This window comes from Homo sapiens, chromosome 11, assembly GCF_000001405.40.
Source record: "Homo sapiens chromosome 11, GRCh38.p14 Primary Assembly".
NCBI lineage: Eukaryota > Metazoa > Chordata > Mammalia > Primates > Hominidae > Homo > Homo sapiens.
In genome coordinates this window covers 56,930,563-56,952,543 of record NC_000011.10, presented here as the reverse complement: position 1 = coordinate 56,952,543, position 21,981 = coordinate 56,930,563, and the positions used below count along the sequence as shown (strand labels likewise).

At 40.3% G+C, this 21,981-nt stretch overlaps 1 long non-coding RNA gene across 1 annotated transcript in view, besides 1 other annotated feature; it reads left to right on the top strand.

Moving 5' to 3' along the window:
- Positions 1 to 200: 200 nt before the first annotated feature.
- LOC105369310 (uncharacterized) overlaps positions 201 to 21,981 on the top strand; it is a 49,693-nt gene continuing 27,912 nt past the window's right edge. Inside the window, exon 1 of the long non-coding RNA XR_950121.2 lies at positions 201 to 2,769. This is a non-coding gene — a long non-coding RNA (uncharacterized LOC105369310). The remainder of the gene's footprint in view (positions 2,770 to 21,981) is intronic.
- Positions 18,822 to 20,021: an enhancer, noted in NCBI's record as "P300/CBP strongly-dependent group 1 enhancer chr11:56699998-56701197 (GRCh37/hg19 assembly coordinates)". NCBI's record gives its function as "activates an origin of replication core promoter dependent on BRD2, BRD4, P300/CBP, MED14 and CDK7 cofactors, with strong dependence on P300/CBP, by STARR-seq in HCT116 cells {active_cell/tissue: HCT116}" and the evidence as "EXISTENCE:reporter gene assay evidence [ECO:0000049][PMID:35650434]".

Sequence of the window (21,981 nt, the reverse complement as noted above, 5' to 3'; positions counted from 1 at the left end):
CAGAAGTAGAATTGCTTGATGATATGGTAATTCTAATTCTAACTTTTTGAAGAACCTCTATACTGTTTCCCATACTGGCTGTACCAAATTACATTCCCACCAACAGTACACAAGGGTTTCCTTTACTCCACATCCCTGTAACACTTATATTTTGTGTTTTTAATAATAGCCATACTAACAAGCATGAAGAAATATCTCATTGTAGTTTGACTTGCATTTCCCTGATAAGTAGTCGTGTTGAGCATGGTCCCATCTTCAAATGTATTAAGGGTTCCTGGTGAGACCTACTCAGAAAGAATCCCTGACCCTTCTAGTCTTCATCAATGGTCATGAGAGGGATAACCTTTTCTTCTTTCTTCCATTCAGGGCATTCTCTCTTAAGATGCCCTGGCTTATCACAATTGTAACATCCAGTTAGTCTTAGGAGTTTTCCCTGAGTTTCCCTTCTTTCTCTGTGTCAACACCTTATCTACTTTGAGGGGGATCTTGATCTAACCTTTTTCTGACTACCTCTTCCACAATGGAAACTATGATTTTGGCTTTCTGTTTCTGCTTCTCTTCTCTTCTTACAAAGACCTTCTCAGCTTCACTCAGTGATTCCTCAATTGGTTTCTCATTCCATTCATCAGTTTTTTTGGTAATTTCTTTGTAATGTCAGGCCAGCTCTTAGTTACAAAGTTAACCTTCAGAAGGCTTTGCCTTACTAGGTCCTCTGGATCTAATCTGGAGTATTTTCTCATTTGATCTCTGAACCTCTGTAGAAATGCAGAGGGAGTGACCTCTTTTTCTTGTTGAATCTTGAATGCTTTTGAGACATTTGGTGTGCTAGAAGTGGACTCTTTGATCCCTTTAATTATAGTTCCCTGAGGTCCTGCATTTGGGTCCATTCCCTGGGATCATTATTATACCATTTGGGATCGACATTTGAAAATTTTTGTTCATCTGGCAAAACTTCTTCCCAAGAGGGTATTGCCTCTATTAACTGGTCATGCTCGGTGTAAAAGCCAGGTCCTAGGAATTGGTCCAGCTGGTCTGCTAAACTGAGGGGATCTTCTAGGAGTGGTTTCATTTCCTTCTTGAAATTCTTAACTTCAGTACTTGTAAGAGGAACATTTACAAAGCCATTCTCTCCCTGTCCCATGAGAACTTCCCTAAGAGGAAACATGCTAGATGCCTGTTGTGTGAAAGGAATAGGGAATTTCTCAATATTCCTCTTACACTGTTCTAATTATTTTCTTAAATTTGGATTAGGATTGAAAGGAAGAGTTGGTTTGGCTCCCCCATGGTCTCCAGGTCTTTCCTCCTCTAACCCACCTGCTGCCCCTTGATCTTTCTGTCCCCTATATTGTAAGATATATGGAGGGGGCAAGTGTGATAGGGGGGTCCCAGGGCTTTTCACTGGGCAAGGGCTTTTTACTAGTTTTTTTTTCTTCTTCTTTGAGAGGGAATGTGGGGACTAATTCCTTGATCCAGCTAAGAGCATAACCTATCTCCTCTTGTGAGGATGGGGTTTTATCATTCACATAGAGGATTAAAGCTTGGCACACCCAATCCTCATCTGAGCCAAATTTGGGCCAAAACACTGAAGGCTTATGAATGAGGACTTTGAGCCAGATAAGACAGGAATACTTTATCATCTTTTGCTTTTCCTTGTCCCTGGTTTGAGGGTTGTCCCTCCAAACCTGCAGCATTATCCCCAAAGGAGTATCCAGGAAAATGTCAGAGGAATTCTCTTTGACTCCCTCTTTCCTTTGTCCCCTAGGCCTAGAATTTCTGTTTCCCATTTTTGGTCAGTCTCTGTGTCTGAACTTTTCCTTGTGTACTCAACCCCCCCTACTGGAGATTTTTTGCACACTCTGAGAATCGCTTCATCCATCTCTGGCCATTTCCCTTGTAGGAGAACAAAACTCTGCACTCACTTTGTATCTAAGATACATCTCAGTTACACACACTTGACCTCCAACCACTAAGACAGTACATAGAGTCCAATTTTCCTACCTTGGCTCATGAACGAGGTTGCCTGGTTGCTGCTGTGCCTGCTTTTCTCCCTGTGTCGTCTCTGCTGCCTTCTGAATAACAGTCTCAGGTTTGTCTATGGCCTCTGTGGGGAGCCGGGACATCTGGACAGAGAGGGCCACCTAAATCAGGTGGGAGGCATCTCCCTTCTCAACTGGAGTCCCACTCCACACAGGCTCATAGATCCCAGATGAGCCCCCAAGTTTGTGAGAAACACATTCATCCGTTGAAACCCAGAGAATGGACTCGGAGACACAAAGAACAGCAGAAGCAAGTCTTTTAATGGTGGCCTTGCAAGATTGGGTGTCTGGCAGGCAGGCACACCTGGGGCAGTTACAGCAGGTAATTTATCTCCTAGCACACGAGTCCCTTCCCCAGTTCCTCACTGGTTGAGTACTATGGGGTTATAATCTTACTGGATGTTGCCTAAGTTTCATTATCCCCCTTATAAGGTTATGCCCTGGTCTCCTTCCCCACATAAGTTTTGATTTGCCAATAATGAAACTTCCCTTTTATGGGCTGACCCATCCTCTACATTCTGTTTGCTTATTGTGAATTTCTAGGTGCATGAGCTGTGTGGTTTCTCACATCTGCAGGCTGGCTGCCAGTACTTAGATTTATCATATCTTGAAAATGGACCATGTAAAATGTTTTCTCACAGATGTGTTTATTAGGACTTACAGGACACTCTTGGACAGCAGCAGGAGAGCTCTAGAGATCCATGCCTCTTCCCATCTCTAAACTGCTTTTAAGGTAATTTTTTGGCCTTTTGTATACTGTGTGAATGCAGTGAGACTGATTTTCTTGTTAGGTTCTCAGATAGTCTCTGGGATGTTTAGATTTTCAGGGACACCTGCTCCTTCACTGGGCACCATGGCCTTAGCTCACAACCCAGCCTTCAGGGTTCAGGAACCAGGCAAATATATACCCTTAAGTAACCTCATGTGGGACGTGTAATACAATAGTCCTCAAAGATGTGTTACTTTCTTGCCATTAACTGTCGCAATATGCATGGAGTACTGTTAACCCAGGAAGCTCACATGAACTTTTGGTGTCCGGAGTTTTTATTGGGACTTGATTATTTACTGACCACATGACTGACTGCTCTCTAAGATTCAAGATACTCCTGGAAGTTCAGAATAATACCTCAGTCTCCAGTGCCTCTGGAGGTATAAATCGACATAGAATATCCTAAAGACCCCATCACAAATCACATTGTTAGATTGTCCAGTGGCTAAAGCCTCCAAACAAAGAAAGACATTCTTATTAGGCAGTACACTCCAGTGATTCAGAGATTGTCTCCCAGTAGCTGAGGGCAAAGGTCAGATTTGTCTTTAGGTAAGCTTCATTCTTCACTACAATTTCTCCCCCAGTACATGACCTTTACTCACAGCCATATCTCAGGAATGCAAACTAAGACAAGTGCCACCATAGCTACAATGGAAGCTTGGACAAAAAGACTTTATTTATATGGCTGCATTACCTTCCACACAAAATAATAGTCCTTTCAGGAAGAAATAAAGGAAAATGAATAGTGGGTAGACAACCAACTATATTTTATTACAACTATGGAATACACATATGGGTTAATAAATAAATTCTTTGTCTTTCAGCTTGTGTAGGTATTCTCTTCCCCATGTTATTTCTGTCCAAAAATGCTCTCTGTATGATGCCATATTTCTTCCATCAGAGTCTAGACTAATATTTTTTAAAAATAAAGGTAGCCAAAACAGACTTTAAACCAACAAAGATGAAAAGAGACAAAGAAGGCCATTACATAATGGTAAAGGGATCAATTCAACAAGAAGAGCTAACTAGGTGGGCTGTTCCAAGATGGCTGATAGGAGCAGCTCCAGTCTACAGCTCCCAGTGTGAGCGACGCAGAACATGGGTGATGTCTGCATTTCCAAATGAGGTACCGGGTTCATCTCACCAGGGCTTGTTGGACAGTGGGTGCAGGACAGTGGGTGCAGTGCATGGAGCATGAGCTGAAGCAGGGTGTCAAGGAAGCTCGAACTGGGTGGAACCCACCGCAGTTCTAGGAGGCCTGCCTGCCACTGTAGACCCCACCTCTGGGGGAAAGGCATAGCCAAACAAAAGACAGCAGAAACCTCTGCAGACTTAAATGTCCCTGTCTGACAGCTTTGAAGAGAGTAGTGGTTACCCCAGCACGGAGTTTGAGATCTGAGAATGGACAGACTGCCTCCACCAGTGGGTCCCTGACCCCCGAGTAGCCTATCTGGGAGGCATCCCCCAGTAGGGGCAGACTGACACCTCACACGGCCGGGTACCCCTCTGAGACAAAATCTCCAGAGGGACGATCAGACAGCAACATTTGCTGTTCAGCAATATTCGCTGTTCTGCAGCCTCTGCTGCTGATACCCAGGCAAAGAGGGTCTGGAGTGGACCTCCAGCAAACTCCAACAGACCTGCAGGTGAGGGTCCTGACTGTTAGAAGGAAAACTAACAAACAGAAAGGACATCCACACCAAAACCCCATCTGTATGTCACCATCATCAAAGACCAAAGGTAGATAAAACCACAAAGATGGGGATAAAGCAGAGCAGAAAAACTGAAAATTCTAAAAATCAGAGCTCCTCTCCCCACTCCAAAGGACTGCAGCTCCTCACCAGCAAGGGAACAAAGCTGGATGGAGAATGACTTTGACGAGTTGAGAGAAGAAGGCTTCAGATGATCAAACTTCTCTGAGCTAAAGGAGGAAGTTTGAACACATCACAAAGAAGTTAAAAACCTTGAAAAAAGATTAGATGAATGGCTAACTAGAATAACCAATGCAGAGAAGTCCTTAAAGGATCTGATGGAGCTGAAAACCATGGCATGAGAACCACATGACGAATGCACAAGCCTCAGTAGCCAATGCGATCAACTGGAAGAAAGGGTATCAGTGATGGAAGATGAAATGAATGAAATGAAGCAAGAAGAGAAGTTTAGAGAAAAAAGAATAAAAAGAAATGAACACAGCCTCCAAGAAATATGAGACTATGTGAAAAGACCAAATCTACTTCTGATTGGTGTACCTGAAAGTAATAAGGAGAATGGAACCAAGTTGGAAAACACTCTGCAGGATATTATCCAGGAGAACTTCCCCAATCTAGCAAGGCAAGCCAACATTCACATTCAGGAAATACAGAGAATGCCACAAAGATAGTCAAGAAGAGCAACTTCAAGACACATAATTATCAGATTCACCAAAGTTGAAGTGAAGGAAGAAATGTTAAGGGCAGCCAGAGAGAAAGGTCAGGTTACCCACAAAGGGAAGCCCATCAGACTAACAGCTGACCTCTCAGCAGAAACTCTACAAGCCAGAAGAAAGTGGGGACCAATATTGAACATTCTTAAAGAAAAGAATTTTTGACCCAGAATTTCATATCCAGCCAAACTAAGCTTCATAAGTGAAGGAGAAATAAAATACTTTACAGACAAGCAAATGCTGAGAGATTTTGTCACCACCAGGCCTGCCCTAAAAGAGCTCCTGAAGGAAGCACTAAACATGGAAAGGAATAACCAGTACCAGCCACTACAAAAACATGCCAAATTGTAGAGACCATCGAGACTAGGAAGAAACTGCATCAACTAATGAGCAAAATAACCAGCTAACATCATAATGACAGGATCAAATTCACACATAACAATATTAACCTTAAATGTAAATGGGCTAAATGCTCTAATTATAAGACACAGACTGGCAAATTGGATAAAGAGTCAAGACCCATCAGTGTGCTGTATTCAGGAGACCCATCTCATGTGAGAGACACACATAGGCTCAAAACAAAGGGATGGAGGAAGATCTACCAAGCAAATGGAAAACAAAAAGAGGCAGGGGTTGCAATCCTAGTCTCTGATAAAACAGACTTTAAACCAACAAAGATCAAAAGATACAAAGAAGGCCATTACGTAATGGTAAAGGGATCCATTCAACAAGAAGAGTTAACTATCCTAAAAATATGTGCACACAACACAGGAGCACCCAGACTCATATAGCAAGTCCTTAGAGACCTACAAAGAGACTTAGATGCCCACACAACAATAATGGGAGACTTTAACACCCCACTGTCAACATTAGACAGATCAACAAGACAAAAATTTAACAAGGATATCCAGGAATTGAAATCAGCTCTGCACCAAGCGGACCTAATAGATGTCTACAGAAATCTCCTCTCCAAGTCAACAGAATATACATTTTTCTCAGCACCACACCACACCTATTCCAAAATTGACCACATAGTTGGAAGTAAACCACTGCTCAGCAAATGTAAAAGAACAGAAATTATAACAAACTGTCTCTCAGACCACAGTGCAATCAAACTAGAACTCAGGATTAAGAAACTCACTCAAGGAGAGAGGAGCCAAGATGACCGAATAGGAACAGCTCCAGGCTACAGCTCCCAGCATGAGCGATGCAGAAGATGGGTGAATTCTGCATTTCCATCTGAGGTACCGGGTTCATCTCACTAGGGAGTGCCAGACAGGGGCGCAGGTCAGTGGGTGCAGCGCACCATGTGCGAGCCAAAGCAGGGCGAGGCATCACCTCACTCGGGAAGTGCAAGGGGTCAGGGAGTTCCCTTTCCTAGTCAAAGAAAGTGGTGACAGACGGCACCTGGAAAATCAGGTCACTCCCACCCGAATACTGCACTTCTCCGATGGGCTTAAAAAAATGGTGCACCAGGAGATTATATCCCGCACCTGGTTTGGAGGGTCCTACGCCCACAGAGTCTCACTGACTGCTAGCACAGCAGTCTGAGATCAAACTGCAAGGTGGCAGTGAGGCCGGGGGAGGGGCGCCTGCCCTTGCCCAGGCTTGCTTAGGTAAACAAAGCAGCCGGAAAGCTCCAACTGTGTGGAGACCACCACAGCTCAAGGAGGCCTGCCTGCCTCTGTAGGCTCCACCTCTGGGGCAGGGCACAGACAAACAAAAAGACAGCAGTAACCTCTGCAGACTTAAATGTCCCTGTCTGACAGCTTTGAAGAGAGCAGTGATTCTCCCAGCACGCAGCTGGAGACCTGAGAATGGGCAGACTGCCTCCTCAAGTGGGTCCCTGACCCCTGACCCCTGAGCAGCCTAACTGGGAGGCACCCCCCAGCCGGGGCAGACTGACACCTCACATGGCCGGGTACTCCAACAGACCTGCAGCTGAGGGTCCTGTCCGTTAGAAGAAAAACTAACAAACAGGAAGGACATCCACACCAAAAACCCATCTGTACATCACCATCATCAAAGACCAAAAGTAGATAAAACCACAAAGATGGGGAAAAAACAGAACAGAAAAACTGGAAACTCTAAAAAGCAGAGCGCCTCTCCTCCTCTAAAGGAACGCAGTTCCTCACCAGCAACCGAACAAAGCTGGATGGAGAATGACTTTGACGAGCTGAGAGAAGAAGGCTTCAGACGATGAAATTACTCCAAGCTATGGGAGGACATTCAAACCAAAGGCAAAGAAGTTGAAAACTTTGAAAAAAATTTAGAAGAATATATAACTAGAAAAACCAATACAGAGAAGTGCTTAAAGGAGATGATGGAGCTGAAAACCAAGGCTCGAGAACTACGTGAAGAATGCAGAAGTCTCAGGAGCTGATGCGATCAACTGGAAGAAAGGGTACCAGCGATGGAAGATGAAATGAATGAAATGAAGCGAGAAGGGAAGTTTAGAGTAAAAAGAATAAAAAGAAATGAGCAAAGCCTCCAAGAAATATGGGACTATGTGAAAAGACCAAATCTATGTCTGATTGGTGTACCTGAAACTGACGGGGAGAATGGAACCAAGTTGGAAAACACTCTGCAGGATATTATCCAAGAGAACTTCCCCAATCTAGCAAGGCAGGCCAACATTCAGATTCAGGAAATACAGAGCACGCCACAAAGATACACCTCGAGAAGAGCAACACCAAGACACATAATTGTCAGATTCACCAAAGTTGAAATGAAGGAAAAAATGTTAAGGGCAGCCAGAGAGAAAGGTCGGGTTACCCACAAAGGGAAGCCCATCAGACTAACAGCAGATCTCTTGGCAGAAACTCTACAAGCCAGAAGAGAGTGGGGGCCAATATTCAACATTCCTAAAGAAAAGAATTTTCAACCCAGAATTTCGTATCCAGATAAACTAAGCTTCATAAATGAAGGAGAAATAAAATACTTTACAGACAAGCAAATGATGAGAGATTCTGACACCACCAGGACTGCCCTAAAAGAGCTCCTGAAGGAAGCGCTAAACATGGAAAGGAATAACCAGTACCAGCCACTACAAAAACATGCCAAATTGTAAAGACCATCGAGACTAGGAAGAAACTGCGTCAACTAATCAGCAAAATAACATCATAATGATAGGATCAAATACACACATAACAATATTAACTTCAAATGTAAATGGACTAAATGCTCCAATTAAAAGACACAGACTGGCAAATTGGATAAAGAGTCAAGACCCATCAGTGTGCTGTATTCAGGAAACCCATCTCACGTGCAAAGACACAGATAGGCTCAAAATAAAAGGATGGAGGAAGATCTACGAAGCAAATGGAAAACAAAAAAAGGCAGGGATTGCAAATCTAGTCTCTGATAAAACAGACTTTAAATGAACAAAGATCAAAAGAGACAAAGAAGGCCATTACTTAATGGTAAAGGGATCAATTCAACAAGAAGAGCTAAGTATCCTAAATATATATGCACCCAATACAGGAGCACCCAGATTCATAAAGTAAGTCCTGAGTGACCTACAAAGAGAGTGAGACTCCCACACATTAATAATGGGAGACTTTAACACCCCACTGTCAACATTAGACAGAGCAACGAGAGAGAAAGTCAACAAGGATAACCAGGAATTGAACTCAGCTCTGCACCAAGCGGACCTAATAGACATCTACAGAACTCTCCACCGCAAATCAACAGAATGTACATTTTTTTCAGCACCACACCACACCTATTCCAAAATTGACCACATACTTGGAAGTAAAGCTCTCCTCAGCAAATGTAAAAGAACAGAAATTATAACAAACTATCTCTCAGACCACAGTGCAATCAAACTAGAACTCAGGATTAAGAATCTCACTCAACATGGGCAAGGACTTCATGTCTAAAACACCAAAAGCAATGGCAACAAAAGACAAAATTGACAAATGGGATCTAATTAAACTAAAGAGCTTCTGCACAGCCAAAGAAACTACCATCAGAGTGAACAGGCAACCTACAAAATGGGAGAAAATTTTTGCAAGCTACTCATCTGACAAAGGGCTAATATCCAGAATCTACAATGAACTGAAACAAATTTACAAGAAAAAAACAAACAACCCCATCAAAAAGTGGGCAAAGGACATGAACAGACACTTCTCAAAAGAAGACATTTATGCAGCCAAAAAACACATGAAAAAATGCTCATTATCACTGGCCATCAGAGAAATGCAAATCAAAACCACAATGAGATACCATCTCACACCAGTTAGAATGGCAATCATTAAAAAGTCAGGAAACAACAGGTGCTGGAGAGGATGTGGAGAAATAGGAACACTTTTACACTGTTGGTGGGACTGTAAACTAGTTCAAGGATTGTGGAAGTCAGTGTGGCGACTCCTCAGGGATCTAGAACTGGAAATACCATTTGACACAGCCATCCCATTACCAGGTATATACCCAAAGGACTATAAATCATGCTGCTATAAAGACACATGCACACGTATGTTTATTGCGGCATTATTCACAATAGCAAAGACTTGGAACCAACCCAAATGTCCAACAATGATAGACTGGATTAAGAAAATGTGGCACATATACACCATGGAATACTATGCAGCCATAAAAAATGATGAGTCCATGTCCTTTGTAGGGACATGGATGAAATTGGAAATCATCATTCTCAGTAAACTATCGCCAAGAACAAAAAACCAAACACCGCATATTCTCACTCATAGGTGGGAATTGAACAATGAGATCACATGGACACAGGAAGGGAAATATCACACTCTGGGGACTGTTGTGGGGTGGTGGGAGGGGGGAGGGATAGCATCAGGAGATATACCTAATGCTGGATGACGAGTTAGTGGGTGCAGCGCACCAGCATGGCACATGTATATATATGTAACTAACCTGCACAATGTGCACGTGTACCCTAAAACTTAAAGTATAATAAAAAAAAAAGAATCTCACTCAAAACCGCTCAACTACATGGCAACTGAACAACCTGCTCCTGAATGACTACTGGGTACATAACAAAATCAAGGCAGAAATAAACATGTTCTTTGAAACCAATGAGAATAAAGATGCAACATAGCAGAATCTCTGGGATGCATTCAAAGCAGTGTGTAGAGGGAAATTTATAGCACTAAATGCCCACAAGAGAAAGCAGGAAAGATCCAAAATTGACACCCTAACATCACAATTAAAAGAACTAGAAAAGCAAGAGCAAACACATTCAAAAGCTAGCAGAAGGCAAGAAATAACTAAAATCAGAGCAGAACTGAAGGAAATAGAGACACAAAAAACCCTTCAAAAAATTAACAAATCCAGGAGCTGGTTTTTTGAAAGGATCAACAAAATAGACTGCTAGAAAGACTAATAAAGAAAAAAAGAGAGAAGAATCAAATAGATGCAATAAAAAATGATAAAGGGGATATCACCACCGATCCCACAGAAATACAAACTACCATCAGAGAATACTACAAACACCTCTATGCAAATAAACTAGAAAATCTAGAAGAAATGGATAAATTCCTTGACACATACACTCTCCCAAGACTAAACCAGGAAGAAGTTGAATCGCTGAATAGACCAATAACAGGATCTGAAATTGTGGCAATAATCAATAGCTTACCAACCAAAAAGAGTCCAGGACCAGATGGATTCACAGCCAAATTCTACCAGAGGTACAAGAAGGAACTGGTACCATTACTTGTGAAATGATTCCAATCAATAGAAAAAGAGGGAATCCTCCCTAATTCATTTTATGAGGCCAGCATCATCCTGATACCAAAGCCGGGCAGAGACACAACCAAAAAAGAGAATTTTAGACCAATATCATTGATGATCATTGATGCAAAAATCCTCAATAAAATACTGGAAAACCGAATCCAGCAGTACATCAGAAAGCTTATCCACCATGACCAAGTGGGCTTCATCCCTGGGATGCAAGGCTGGTTCAATATACGCAAATCAATAAATGTAATCCAACATATAAACAGAACCAAAGACAAAAGCCACATGATTATCTCAAAAGATGCAGAAAAGGCCTTTGACAAAATTCAACCACCCTTCATGCTAAAAACTCTCAATAAATTAGGTATTGATGGGACCTATCTCAAAATAATAAGAGCTATCTATGACAAACCCACAGCCAATATCATACTGAATGGGCAAAAACTGGAAGCATTCCCTTTGAAAACTGGCACAAGACAGGGATGCCCTCTCTCACCACTCCTATTCAACATAGTGTTGGAAGTTCTGCACAGGGCAATTAGGCAGAAGAAGGAAATAAAGGGTATTCAATTAGGAAAAGAGGAAGTCAAATTGTCCCTGTTTGCAGACGACATGATTGTATATCTAGAAAACCCCACTGTCTCAGCCCAAAATCTCCTTAAGTTGATAAGCAACTTCAGCAAAGTCTCAGGATACAAAATCAAGGTACAAAAATCACAAGCATTCTTATACACCAACAACAGACAAACAGAGAGCCAAATCATGAGTGAACTCCCATTCACAATTGCTTCAAAGAGAATAAAATACCTAGGAATCCAACTTACAAGGGACGTGAAGGACCTCTTCAAGGAGACCTACAAACCACTGCTCAATGAAATAAAAGAGGATACAAACCAATGGAAGAACATTCCATGCTCATGGGTAGGAAGAATCAATATCGTGAAAATGTCCATACTGCCCAAGGTAATTTACAGATTCAATGCCATCCCCATCAAGCTACCAATGACTTTCCTCACAGAATTGGAAAAAACTACTTTAAGGTTCATATAGAACCAAAAAAGAGCCCACATCACCAAGTCAATCCTGAGCCAAAAGAAGAAAGCTGGAGGCATCACACTACCTGACTTCAAACTATACTACAAGGCTACAGTAACCAAAACAGCATGGTACTGGTACCAAAACAGAGATATAGATCAATGGAACAGAACAGAGCCCTCAGAAATAACGCCGCATATCTACAACTATGTGATCTTTGACAAACCTGAGAAAAACAAGCAATGGGGAAAGGATTCCCTATTTAATAAATGGTGCTGGGAAAACTGGCTAGCCATATGTAGAAAGCTGAAACTGGAACCCTCCCTTACACCTTATACAAAAATTAATTCAAGATGGATTAAAGACTTAAATGTTAGACCTAAAACCACAAAAACCCTAGAAGAAAACCTAGGCAACACTATTCAGGACATAGGCATGGGCAAGGACTTCATGTCGAAAACATAAAAAGCAATGGCAACAAAAGCCAAAATTGACAAATGGGATCTAATTAAACTAAAGAGCTTCTGCACAGCAAAAGAAACTACCATCAGAGTGAACACGCAACCTACAGAATGGGAGAAAATTTTTGCAACATACTCATCTGACAAAGGGCTAATATCCAGAATCTGCAATGAACTCAAACAAATTTACAAGAAAAAAACAAACAACCCCATCAAAAAGTGGGCAAAGGACATGAACAGACACTTCTCAAAAGAAGACATTTATGCAGCCAAAAAACACATGAAAAAATGCTCACCATCACTGGCCATCAGAGAAATGCAAGTCAAAACCACAGTGAGATACCATCTCACACCACTTAGAATGGCAATCATTAAAAAGTCAGGAAACAACAGGTGCTGGAGAGACTGTGGAGAAATAGGAACACTTTTACACTGTTGGTGGGACTGTAAATTAGTTCAACCATTGTGGAAGTCAGTGTGGCGATTCCTCAGGGATCTAGAACTAGAAATACCATTTGACTCAGCCATCCCATTACTGGGTATATACCCAAAGGACTATAAATCATGCTGCTATAAAGACACATGCACACGTATGTTTATTGTGACACTATTCACAATAGCAAAGACTTGGAACCAACCCAAATGTCCAACAATGATAGACTGGATTAAGAAAATGTGTCACATACACACTATGGAATACCATGCAGCCATAAAAAATGATGAGTTCATGTCCTTTGTAGGGAAATAGATGAAGCTGGAAACCATCATTCTCAGCAAACTATCGCAAGAACAAAAAACCAAACACCGCATGTTCTTACTCATAGGTGGGAACTGAACAATGAGAACACTTGGACACAGGAAGGGGAATATCACACACCGGGGCCTGTCATGGAGTGGGAGAAGTAGGGAGGGAAAGCATTAGGACATATACCTAATGTAAATGACGAGTTAATGGGTGCAGGACACCAACATGGCACATGTGTACTTATGTAACAAACCTGCACATTGTGCACATGTACCCTAGAACTTAAAGTATAATAGAAAAAAAATAAAGTTAGCTGAGGCTGGGCGTGGTGGCTCCTGCCTGTAATCCCAGTATTTTGGGAGGACAAGGTGGGCAGATCTCCTGAGGTCAGGAGTTCAAGACCAGCCTGGCCAACATGTTGAAACCCTGTCTCTACTGAAAATACAAAAATTAGGCAGATGGGGTGGTGCATGCCTGTAATTCCAGCTACTTGGGAGGCTGAGGCTGAAGAATCGCTTGAACCCGTGAGGCAGAGGTTGCAGTGAGCCGAGGTCGGGCCATTGCGCTCCTGCCTGGGTGACAGGGCAAGGCTCCATCTCAAAAAATAAAATACAATAAATAAAATAAAATAAAATAAATAAAATTAGCCATCTTTGCTAATCGTTGACTTCAAGTTTTGGTTGGAGATTTGAGCTTCTGTTGTAATGTTTTGGATACAATTACTGGACCTAGGAAGTCTTTATAAAACATGGACTGCTAAACAGTTTGCTGTAATGAAATGTAGCTAGTAAGTTTTGTAATTAGTAGATAACATTCGAATTTTCCATGTGCAGACCTTGTTCACTAATTAAACAGCTATTTTAATTACCACCTATTAAATTCCTGACAATTAACAGATACTGGGAATACAATAATGAGCGGAAAAGTCATCCTTCTCTTAACAGAGATTTCATTTAAGTGGTTTTCGTTTACACAGCTATGGTAGAATGAATTATATCCTGATCTGGGTGTCAGTTGAAAAACAATTTACTCTGAGTAGAAATCTACCATGGTGTGGTAGGTTATAAAAATGACCACAAATTGTTTTCTTTATTGCATTCACACCATTAGGATGCGATGTACAACCTGTGTACTAAAGCTTTTCTGCAAACAATTTCTTTTCTTGACTCAAAGCTTTCATGACCTCCCTTTGAATTCCCATTGAGTTTCTGTAGTTTAAAGTTATTCTTTCAAAAAACCAGCTCCTGGATTCATTGATTTTTTGAAGGGTTTTTTGTGTCTCTATTTCCTTCAATTCTGCTCTGATTTTAGATAGACTGGATTAAGAAAATGTGGCACATATACACCATGGAATACTATGCAGCCATAAAAAATGATGAGTTCATGTCCTTTGTAGGGACATGGATGAAATTGGAAACCATCATTCTCAGTAAACTATCACAAGAACAAAAAACCAAACACCGCATATTCTCACTCATAGGTGGGAATTGAACAATGAGATCACATGGACACAGGAAGGGGAATATCACACTCTGGGGACGGTGGTGGGTGGGGGGAGGGGGGAGGGATAGCATTGGGAGATATACCTAATGCTAGATGACGAGTTAGTGGGTGCAGCGCACCAGCATGGCACATGTATACATATGTAACTAACCTGCACAATGTGCACATGTACCCTAAAACTTAAAGTATAATAAAAAATAATAATAATAATAAAATTAAAAAAAAATAAAGTTATTCACCTGAACAAAATGAATGGTATGCCTTTTGCAAATAAATGATCACTGGCTAGGCTTTTAGGTCCACCTATTTCTAGATTATCTTTATCGAAGATAGAAATAGAAAATAATTGCAAGAGTTCCCTTTTTCCTAGGCAAGAAGGAGTCAGATGCGGTATAAAGAGGGTAGCTAATGATAGAAATAAGTGTTTTTTTAAGTGCCATAAAATGTAACAAATATGGGAATATAGGGTAGAAAAAATAGCCTGAGTCATAAGAGGCTTTTTAAGGCAATGCATTTATTTATCTTACATTCATATTTTTGCAATAATTTGGACATTCAGATTTTTGCAATAATTTGGGCAAATTTAAAGGGCCTCATATGTATTGTTTTTGTCACTATGTTGTGACATATTCTGGCTTTGATTGTTTTTCTTAATTGGGAGGTTTAAAATAGGCCATGTTGAGGTAGTCAGACTCAACTAATTTGAAGCCTAGAGTTTGAATTTTGTTTTGGACAGCATATTTGTCTTTTGTGAATAAGCTTTCTTCTTACTTTGTAAATAAGCTATTTCTTTATTTGTAAATAAGCTTTTCAACTACCACCCACACCCATTTGGTCGCAGGCTGGGATGAGGGTCAGGGCCTCTTGGCAAAAGGATTAGGTTGGCAGGAATTGTAGGATTTAGGGTAGTGGCTATTTACTGGCTGACATGGTAGTATCTCAGTATTTTAACAACTGATGCAGGTTAACTGGCCGAATATTATCTTGTGCTTGTAGGATTAGCAGGAAAATCTGGACATGTGCCCTTTCAGTGGTATAGACCAGAACTTTCCAACCTGCATCCTGGGAGACCCTAATTTACTGAAATATTGATCCCCTCCTCTCTCAGTTGAGTCAAGAGGGGTCTGGGACAGCCATTGTTTCCAGGTGGTCATCAGGGAGAAGGGGATCCTATTCCATTTACCCTTAATGTTTCACATAAACTTTACAATTTTATGTTTGTGCTATTTCATAAAACTTGTTTTTTGCAGTGTGCAAATTAAGATCTCTCTCTGTGTTTTTTAAAATGATGAGAAGCTTTCAAACATTAGCAAAATAATCCTTTTAGGATATAGTAGCAACATATCCACTATACATTCGTCAGTCTGGATGTTTAGTTCCTGCTTGGTATAAACCCAACTCAATTTTTTCAAACTGAGCAAAGTTGGTCAAACATGAAATTAAATGGGCTTGCATCTATAATGCCTTCTCTCAGGATGTGTCTTTGCTTATTAGCCATACCTCTAAACTTTCTCCTCTCCCACCTTCTGCATCATACACTGTCTTATGTTTCCTGCTAGGTCTCGGTTAATCCTTTTTTATCACTACTGGTCCTGCTTTCTTATCTCTCTTCTGCAGTGAAAACAGCTTTAAGATTCTCTGTCAAATCAAGTCTCTTTCTCTACTATTTTCCTCAGTTAACTCTTCGGGGAGTATGCTCAAGTTGGTATCTTTTGTCCTTATTTTCCTTTTAAGATCCTCAGGGATCTAGAACTAGAAATACCATTTGACCCAGCCATCCCATTACTGGGTATATACTCAAAGGACTATAAATCATGCTGCTATAAAGACACATGCACACGTATGTTTATTGTGGCACTATTCACAATAGCAAAGACTTGGAACCAACCCAAATGTCCAACAATGATAGACTGGATTAAGAAATTGTGGCACATATACACCATGGTATACTATGCAGCCATAAAAAATGATTAGTTCATGTCCTTTATAGGGACATGGATGAAATTGGAAATCATCGTTCTCAGTAAACTATCGCAAGGACAAAAAACCAAACACCGCATGTTCTCACTCATAGGTGGGAATTGAACAATGAGAACACATGGACACAGGAAGGGGAACATCACACTCTGGGGACTGTTGTGGGGTGGGGGGAGTGGGGAGGGATAGCATTAGGAGATATATCTAATGCTAAATGAAGAGTTAATGGGTGCAGCACACCAGCATGGCACATGTATACATATGTAACTAACCTGCACATTGTGCACATGTACCCTAAAACCTAAAGTATAAAAAAAAAAAATCCAGAAGGACATTTTTTCCAATTATCTGCTAGACATCTTCATTTAGGTTTTCTTTTCATACCATAAACTCAAGGTGCTTAAAAGCAGCCCTTCGCTTTTGCTTCACATTCTAGTTTTCTTCATCCTCTACTTTGCTGCCACCTACAATCCAAACTTTGGGGTGTCTTTGGGTTCCCCTGAATGTTTAATTACTTACCATATTCTATGGATCCAGTATCCACAATGTGTCTCTGTGTATTCCCTTACATTGCATATTTTTATTATCAGCCAAACTCATTATCTCTCACCCAGGTTTCACAATAGGAACTTCATTGATCTCTCCACCTCCACGCTATTCACTCTTCCAGTCTTTCCTTTGTGTGGTTTTAAGTTAGGTTTTTCCAGAGCTCAATTCCAATTAAACTACTCCTTAGCTCACAGGCCTTTGCACTTGCCTCTCATGATCTTGCCCATCAGGATCTCATGTCAGGTTTCTTTGCATTCTTCTCTATGGACCCATCTGGTCTACTAAACCAAGCACAAACTTTTCAGCTAGAATTTTAGATTTTTTTTCCCAATACGAGCTCAGTTTAACTTTCTAGGCTTATCTATCATTGCTCTAATTAACTAACAAACTAATCATTACTAAAATATTTATTGAACATCCACTCTATGTCTCTATGCCAAACAGTGGACCCCAGTCCATTGTTAGGATAAAATGCTAAGGATTTGATTGCTAGGGATACATTGCTAGGGATGAAATGGTGAATAACAGCATACAGAATCACTGCTCTCATGGAGTTTTCAGTCTTGTGAGTGGCACAGGCAGAGATCATTTGTATCAGTGAGGTGCACAGGGCACAAAAGCTTATAAAGGGAATATTAACCTGGTAATTTAAATCTGGGATGAGTGTCCAGAGAAAACTATGCTTATATAAGTAATAGGAAATTATTTCGAATGCTGTCAAAAAGCCAAGGCCAACCATACTTATGGAGGAATGAAATTTAAGTGATAGTGAGGAAACCACCTTGCAAACAGTTCTACAGTCACATAGGCCTCCTACTCTGCTGTCCGAACAGAAATTTGCTCCTGCCTCAGGGCCTTTGCACTTGCCTTTGATGATTCTGCTTCTCAGGATGTCATGGCAGGCTCCTTCAATATTCTCAGATTCCCTTCTGCCTGACCCCCTGAACTAATCTAGTCCCCTGCTTATCATTCTCTCTCACCTCATCCTATTTATTTTCTTTAAATGTAATCATCTTGTTTTTTCTTCCATTTACTTGTTTATTGACTGCCTTCTGCACTAGAATATAAACTCCTAGAGGTAGGGCTTCTGACTCTTCATTCACATCACCTAGGTCAATGCCTGATAAATGGTAAGTGCTCAATTAATGTTGCAAATGAAAGAGAATAATAAAGATATATATGAAGGATCATGAAGTTATATATATATATCTCATATATCTCTCTGTTATATCTATATATCTATATATATTTTTATATATAGACATCTATTTTTCTATTTATATATCTCTAGATAGATACATAGATATTTCTCTCTAGATATGTCTCTGATATGAGAGATAAGTATATATGAGAATATATATAGATATCTACATATATCTATATATGATAGCTCTCTATATATGAGAAGGTCTATTCTGTGGGGAGTTAATAATTGATTTTTCAGAAATGATAACTACATTATGTTTTCTTAGAGATGCGGCTGCTACACAATTTTTGCCACTTTGTTTTTCAACTTCTATTTTAGATTCTGGGGTACATGTACAGTTTGTTATAAAGATATATTGCGTGATTCTGTGGTTGCTGGGTGGAATATTCCGTAGATGGTTATGAGGTCCAGTTGGTCAAGTGTCAAGCTTAAGTCTAGAATTTTCCTGTTAGTGTTCTGAATTTGTATCAATTCTTTATTGAAGAGGAAAAAGATACTTTGTTGTCTAAATTATTTGATGTTTAGTTTTAAAAGTACCCTCAGGAAATTTACTTGAAGTGCATAAAAATAAAGTGGATTAATGGATATATTGAGAGATGGGTAGATGAATAGACACGGGATGGAGGAAATTTACTGAAATAGTAATGTTGAAATCAAGTGATGGCCATATAGATATTCACTATAAAATTATTTCAACATTGCTGTATTTTCAAACTTTCATAAACAGTTCTGGGAAAGAAAATATAACTGAGTATATCCCTGCCTTCAATAGAGCTCAAGTTTAATTTCCTATGCATTCTGCACTTTTAGGATTGTGCCAGAAGTGTCTCTGACTAGCAAGAAAGCAGATAAAACCTTCCTTTATTTACACTGACTAGGCAACAAATATTATATTATATGCCATTGGTAAGATTTCCAACAATAAGAATTTTGCACTCACATGGTTAATCAGAAGTTTGGATAACTAGAATCTTGGCTTCCTGCTACCTGCCCCACAGCCTCTGATATCTGCAGGCTGGTACCAGGGGATTAATTACAGTCAGAGGTGGAAGATGACTCACCGATGTTACTTGTTGCAACAAGAGAAATCATTTTTTCACTTGTGAGTCATACGCCTCTCATAAGCCTCTGGGGAAAGGTACCCTGTCATTGTTAAAATGATTCAGTGTCTTTCCATCCTGTAGGTCTCGGTGACTCTGTGGCCTTTCATGCTTTTTGTGGATCTAGGATGGGAAGAACCCTCATTACAAGAATATCAGTAACTAGAATGTGAATTGGTGTTGCCAGCTTATAAAACCATTGCATTTGTCTTACTTCATGTAATTGTCACAATCATCCTATGATGCACATAGGCCAGGAAATATTATGCATCGCACCTATACAAATGTGGGGATTGAGGTATGAAGCGTGGAAGTGACATGGCCAAGTTCACTGTAGGATACTAAGTTAATAAAATGAAATTAGAGTCTAGATTTCTGACTTCTAATCCAGGCACTCTTACTTGATGTCCAACTAAAAATGCAGACAAATTCTTCCTACCTAATTCTTCCAAGAAGAGTAAAGCTTTAGAGAAAATCGGATCAGGGAAAGCCATTTGAAGATAGCTGTAAAGAAGATGAATTTTCCCTGGCTGGAATTTATGCTACTTCCTTTTACTTTGGATTTCCTGGCATGGGAATTAAAGAGCATTGACTGTGGAGTTAGAGATTCCTGGGTCTGAAACTCCACTCCACCAATTTCTACCTGCAACATCAGGCAAATTGCTTGGCCTCCCTAAGCCTCAGGTTTTATATCTAAAAAATGAGGTTAATTATAGCACCTATGCCCAATGGGCCTGTTTTGAGGATTAAATGCAATAATGCCCATAAAGGGCATATATCAGTACTTATTGATGGTAGATCCTTATAATTAAATAATTTTATCTAGCAATCCTACTTCTGGATATTTATCAAAAAAATTGAAATCAGAATCTCAAAGATATATTAGCATTCTGATGTTCATTGCAACATCATTCACAATAGCCACAATGAGGAAAGAATCTAAATGTCCATCAATGGGTAAATGAATTAAAGATGTGGTGTATACATACAATGGAATATTATTCAGTCTTAAGAAAGAGGAAATCCTGTAATAGCAACAACATAAATTAAACTTAAAGACATGATGCTAAGTGAAATAAGCCAGTCACAGAAGAACAAATACTCTAGGACTCTATTTACATGAGTTATCTAAAATAGTCAAACTCCTTCGGCATAGAAACAAAAAATAGAATGATGGTTGCCAGGGACTGGAGGAAGGGGAAAATGGGAAGTACCAATCAACAGGTATAAAATTTCAGTTATGCAAGATAAATAAGTTCTAGAGATAGACTTCACAATATTGTGCTTATAGAAAACAATACTGTATTGTACACTTAAAAATGTTAATAGGATAGATGTCATAATAAATGTTTTTTTTTTTTTTTTTTTTTTTTTGAGACGGAGTCTGGCTCTGTCTCCCAGGCCAGAGTGCAGTGGTGCGACCTCGGCTCACTGCAAGCTCCGCCTCCCAGGTTCAGGCCATTCTCCTGCCTCAGCCTTCCGAGTAGCTGGGACTACAGGCGTCCACCACCACACCTGGCTAATTTTTTCTTTTTTTGTATTTTTAGTAGAGACGGGTTTCACCATGTTAGCCAGGATGGTCTCGATCTCCTGATCTCGTGATCCGCCCCCCTCAGCCTCCCAAAGTACCGGGATTGCAGGCGTGAACCACCATGCCCGGCTCATAAAAAGTGTTTTTACCATGATAAAATTAAAACAATTCAAAATTAGAATATGGAATTATTCTCATATATTTAATAAAATTTATCTAGTTGGAAGAAATTACATAAACATATTTTTGGAATCAGAAAATTCTTGCAATAAGAGAACTTTAAATGATTTTCTAGGTATATAGTTAAGCTTAAGGTACAGACATAAAAAATGAAGGAGCAGGAGAAGTTTCTTTTGGTGAGTTGTTAAACAAAAGGATGGATTTCCATGAGAGAGGCCAAGGAGGACTTTTTTTGCTGTAGTCCCTTAGAATTAGCATCCATCCATCCATTCATTTCTTCCTCCATTTCGCACATCTTTACTGAGTGTCTCTAACATGTCAAGAAATCCTTGCTTCATGGATATTGCAGGCTAGAGAGGGAGACAAAGAAATTAACACACCACATAAATTAATGTAAAATTATACCCATGGTAATTGCTACAGAGTGTATCACAGGAAGGCTTGACTTAGTGAGGAAGCACTCTGGGATTGTGGATAAAGCTATGCTGAGATGTGATAATAGTGCTGAGATCTGAAAGTGAGTGGCGGATTGACCAGGTGAGATGGAGTGAGGGCAGGGAGTTGACAAAATGGCTCAGCCATTGGGATCAGGAGCAAAGAGCCTGTGGCAGAAAAGAGTGTGAAGACTTGAAGAGATCCAGTGGGCTGAAACAGAGATAGCAAGAGCCAGAGTGGTACAAGGTTGGGTAGTGGCCATGGGGCAGTCTTGGGGTTTGGACTTTATTCCAAGAGTCATGGGAATCCATTGAAGAGTTTC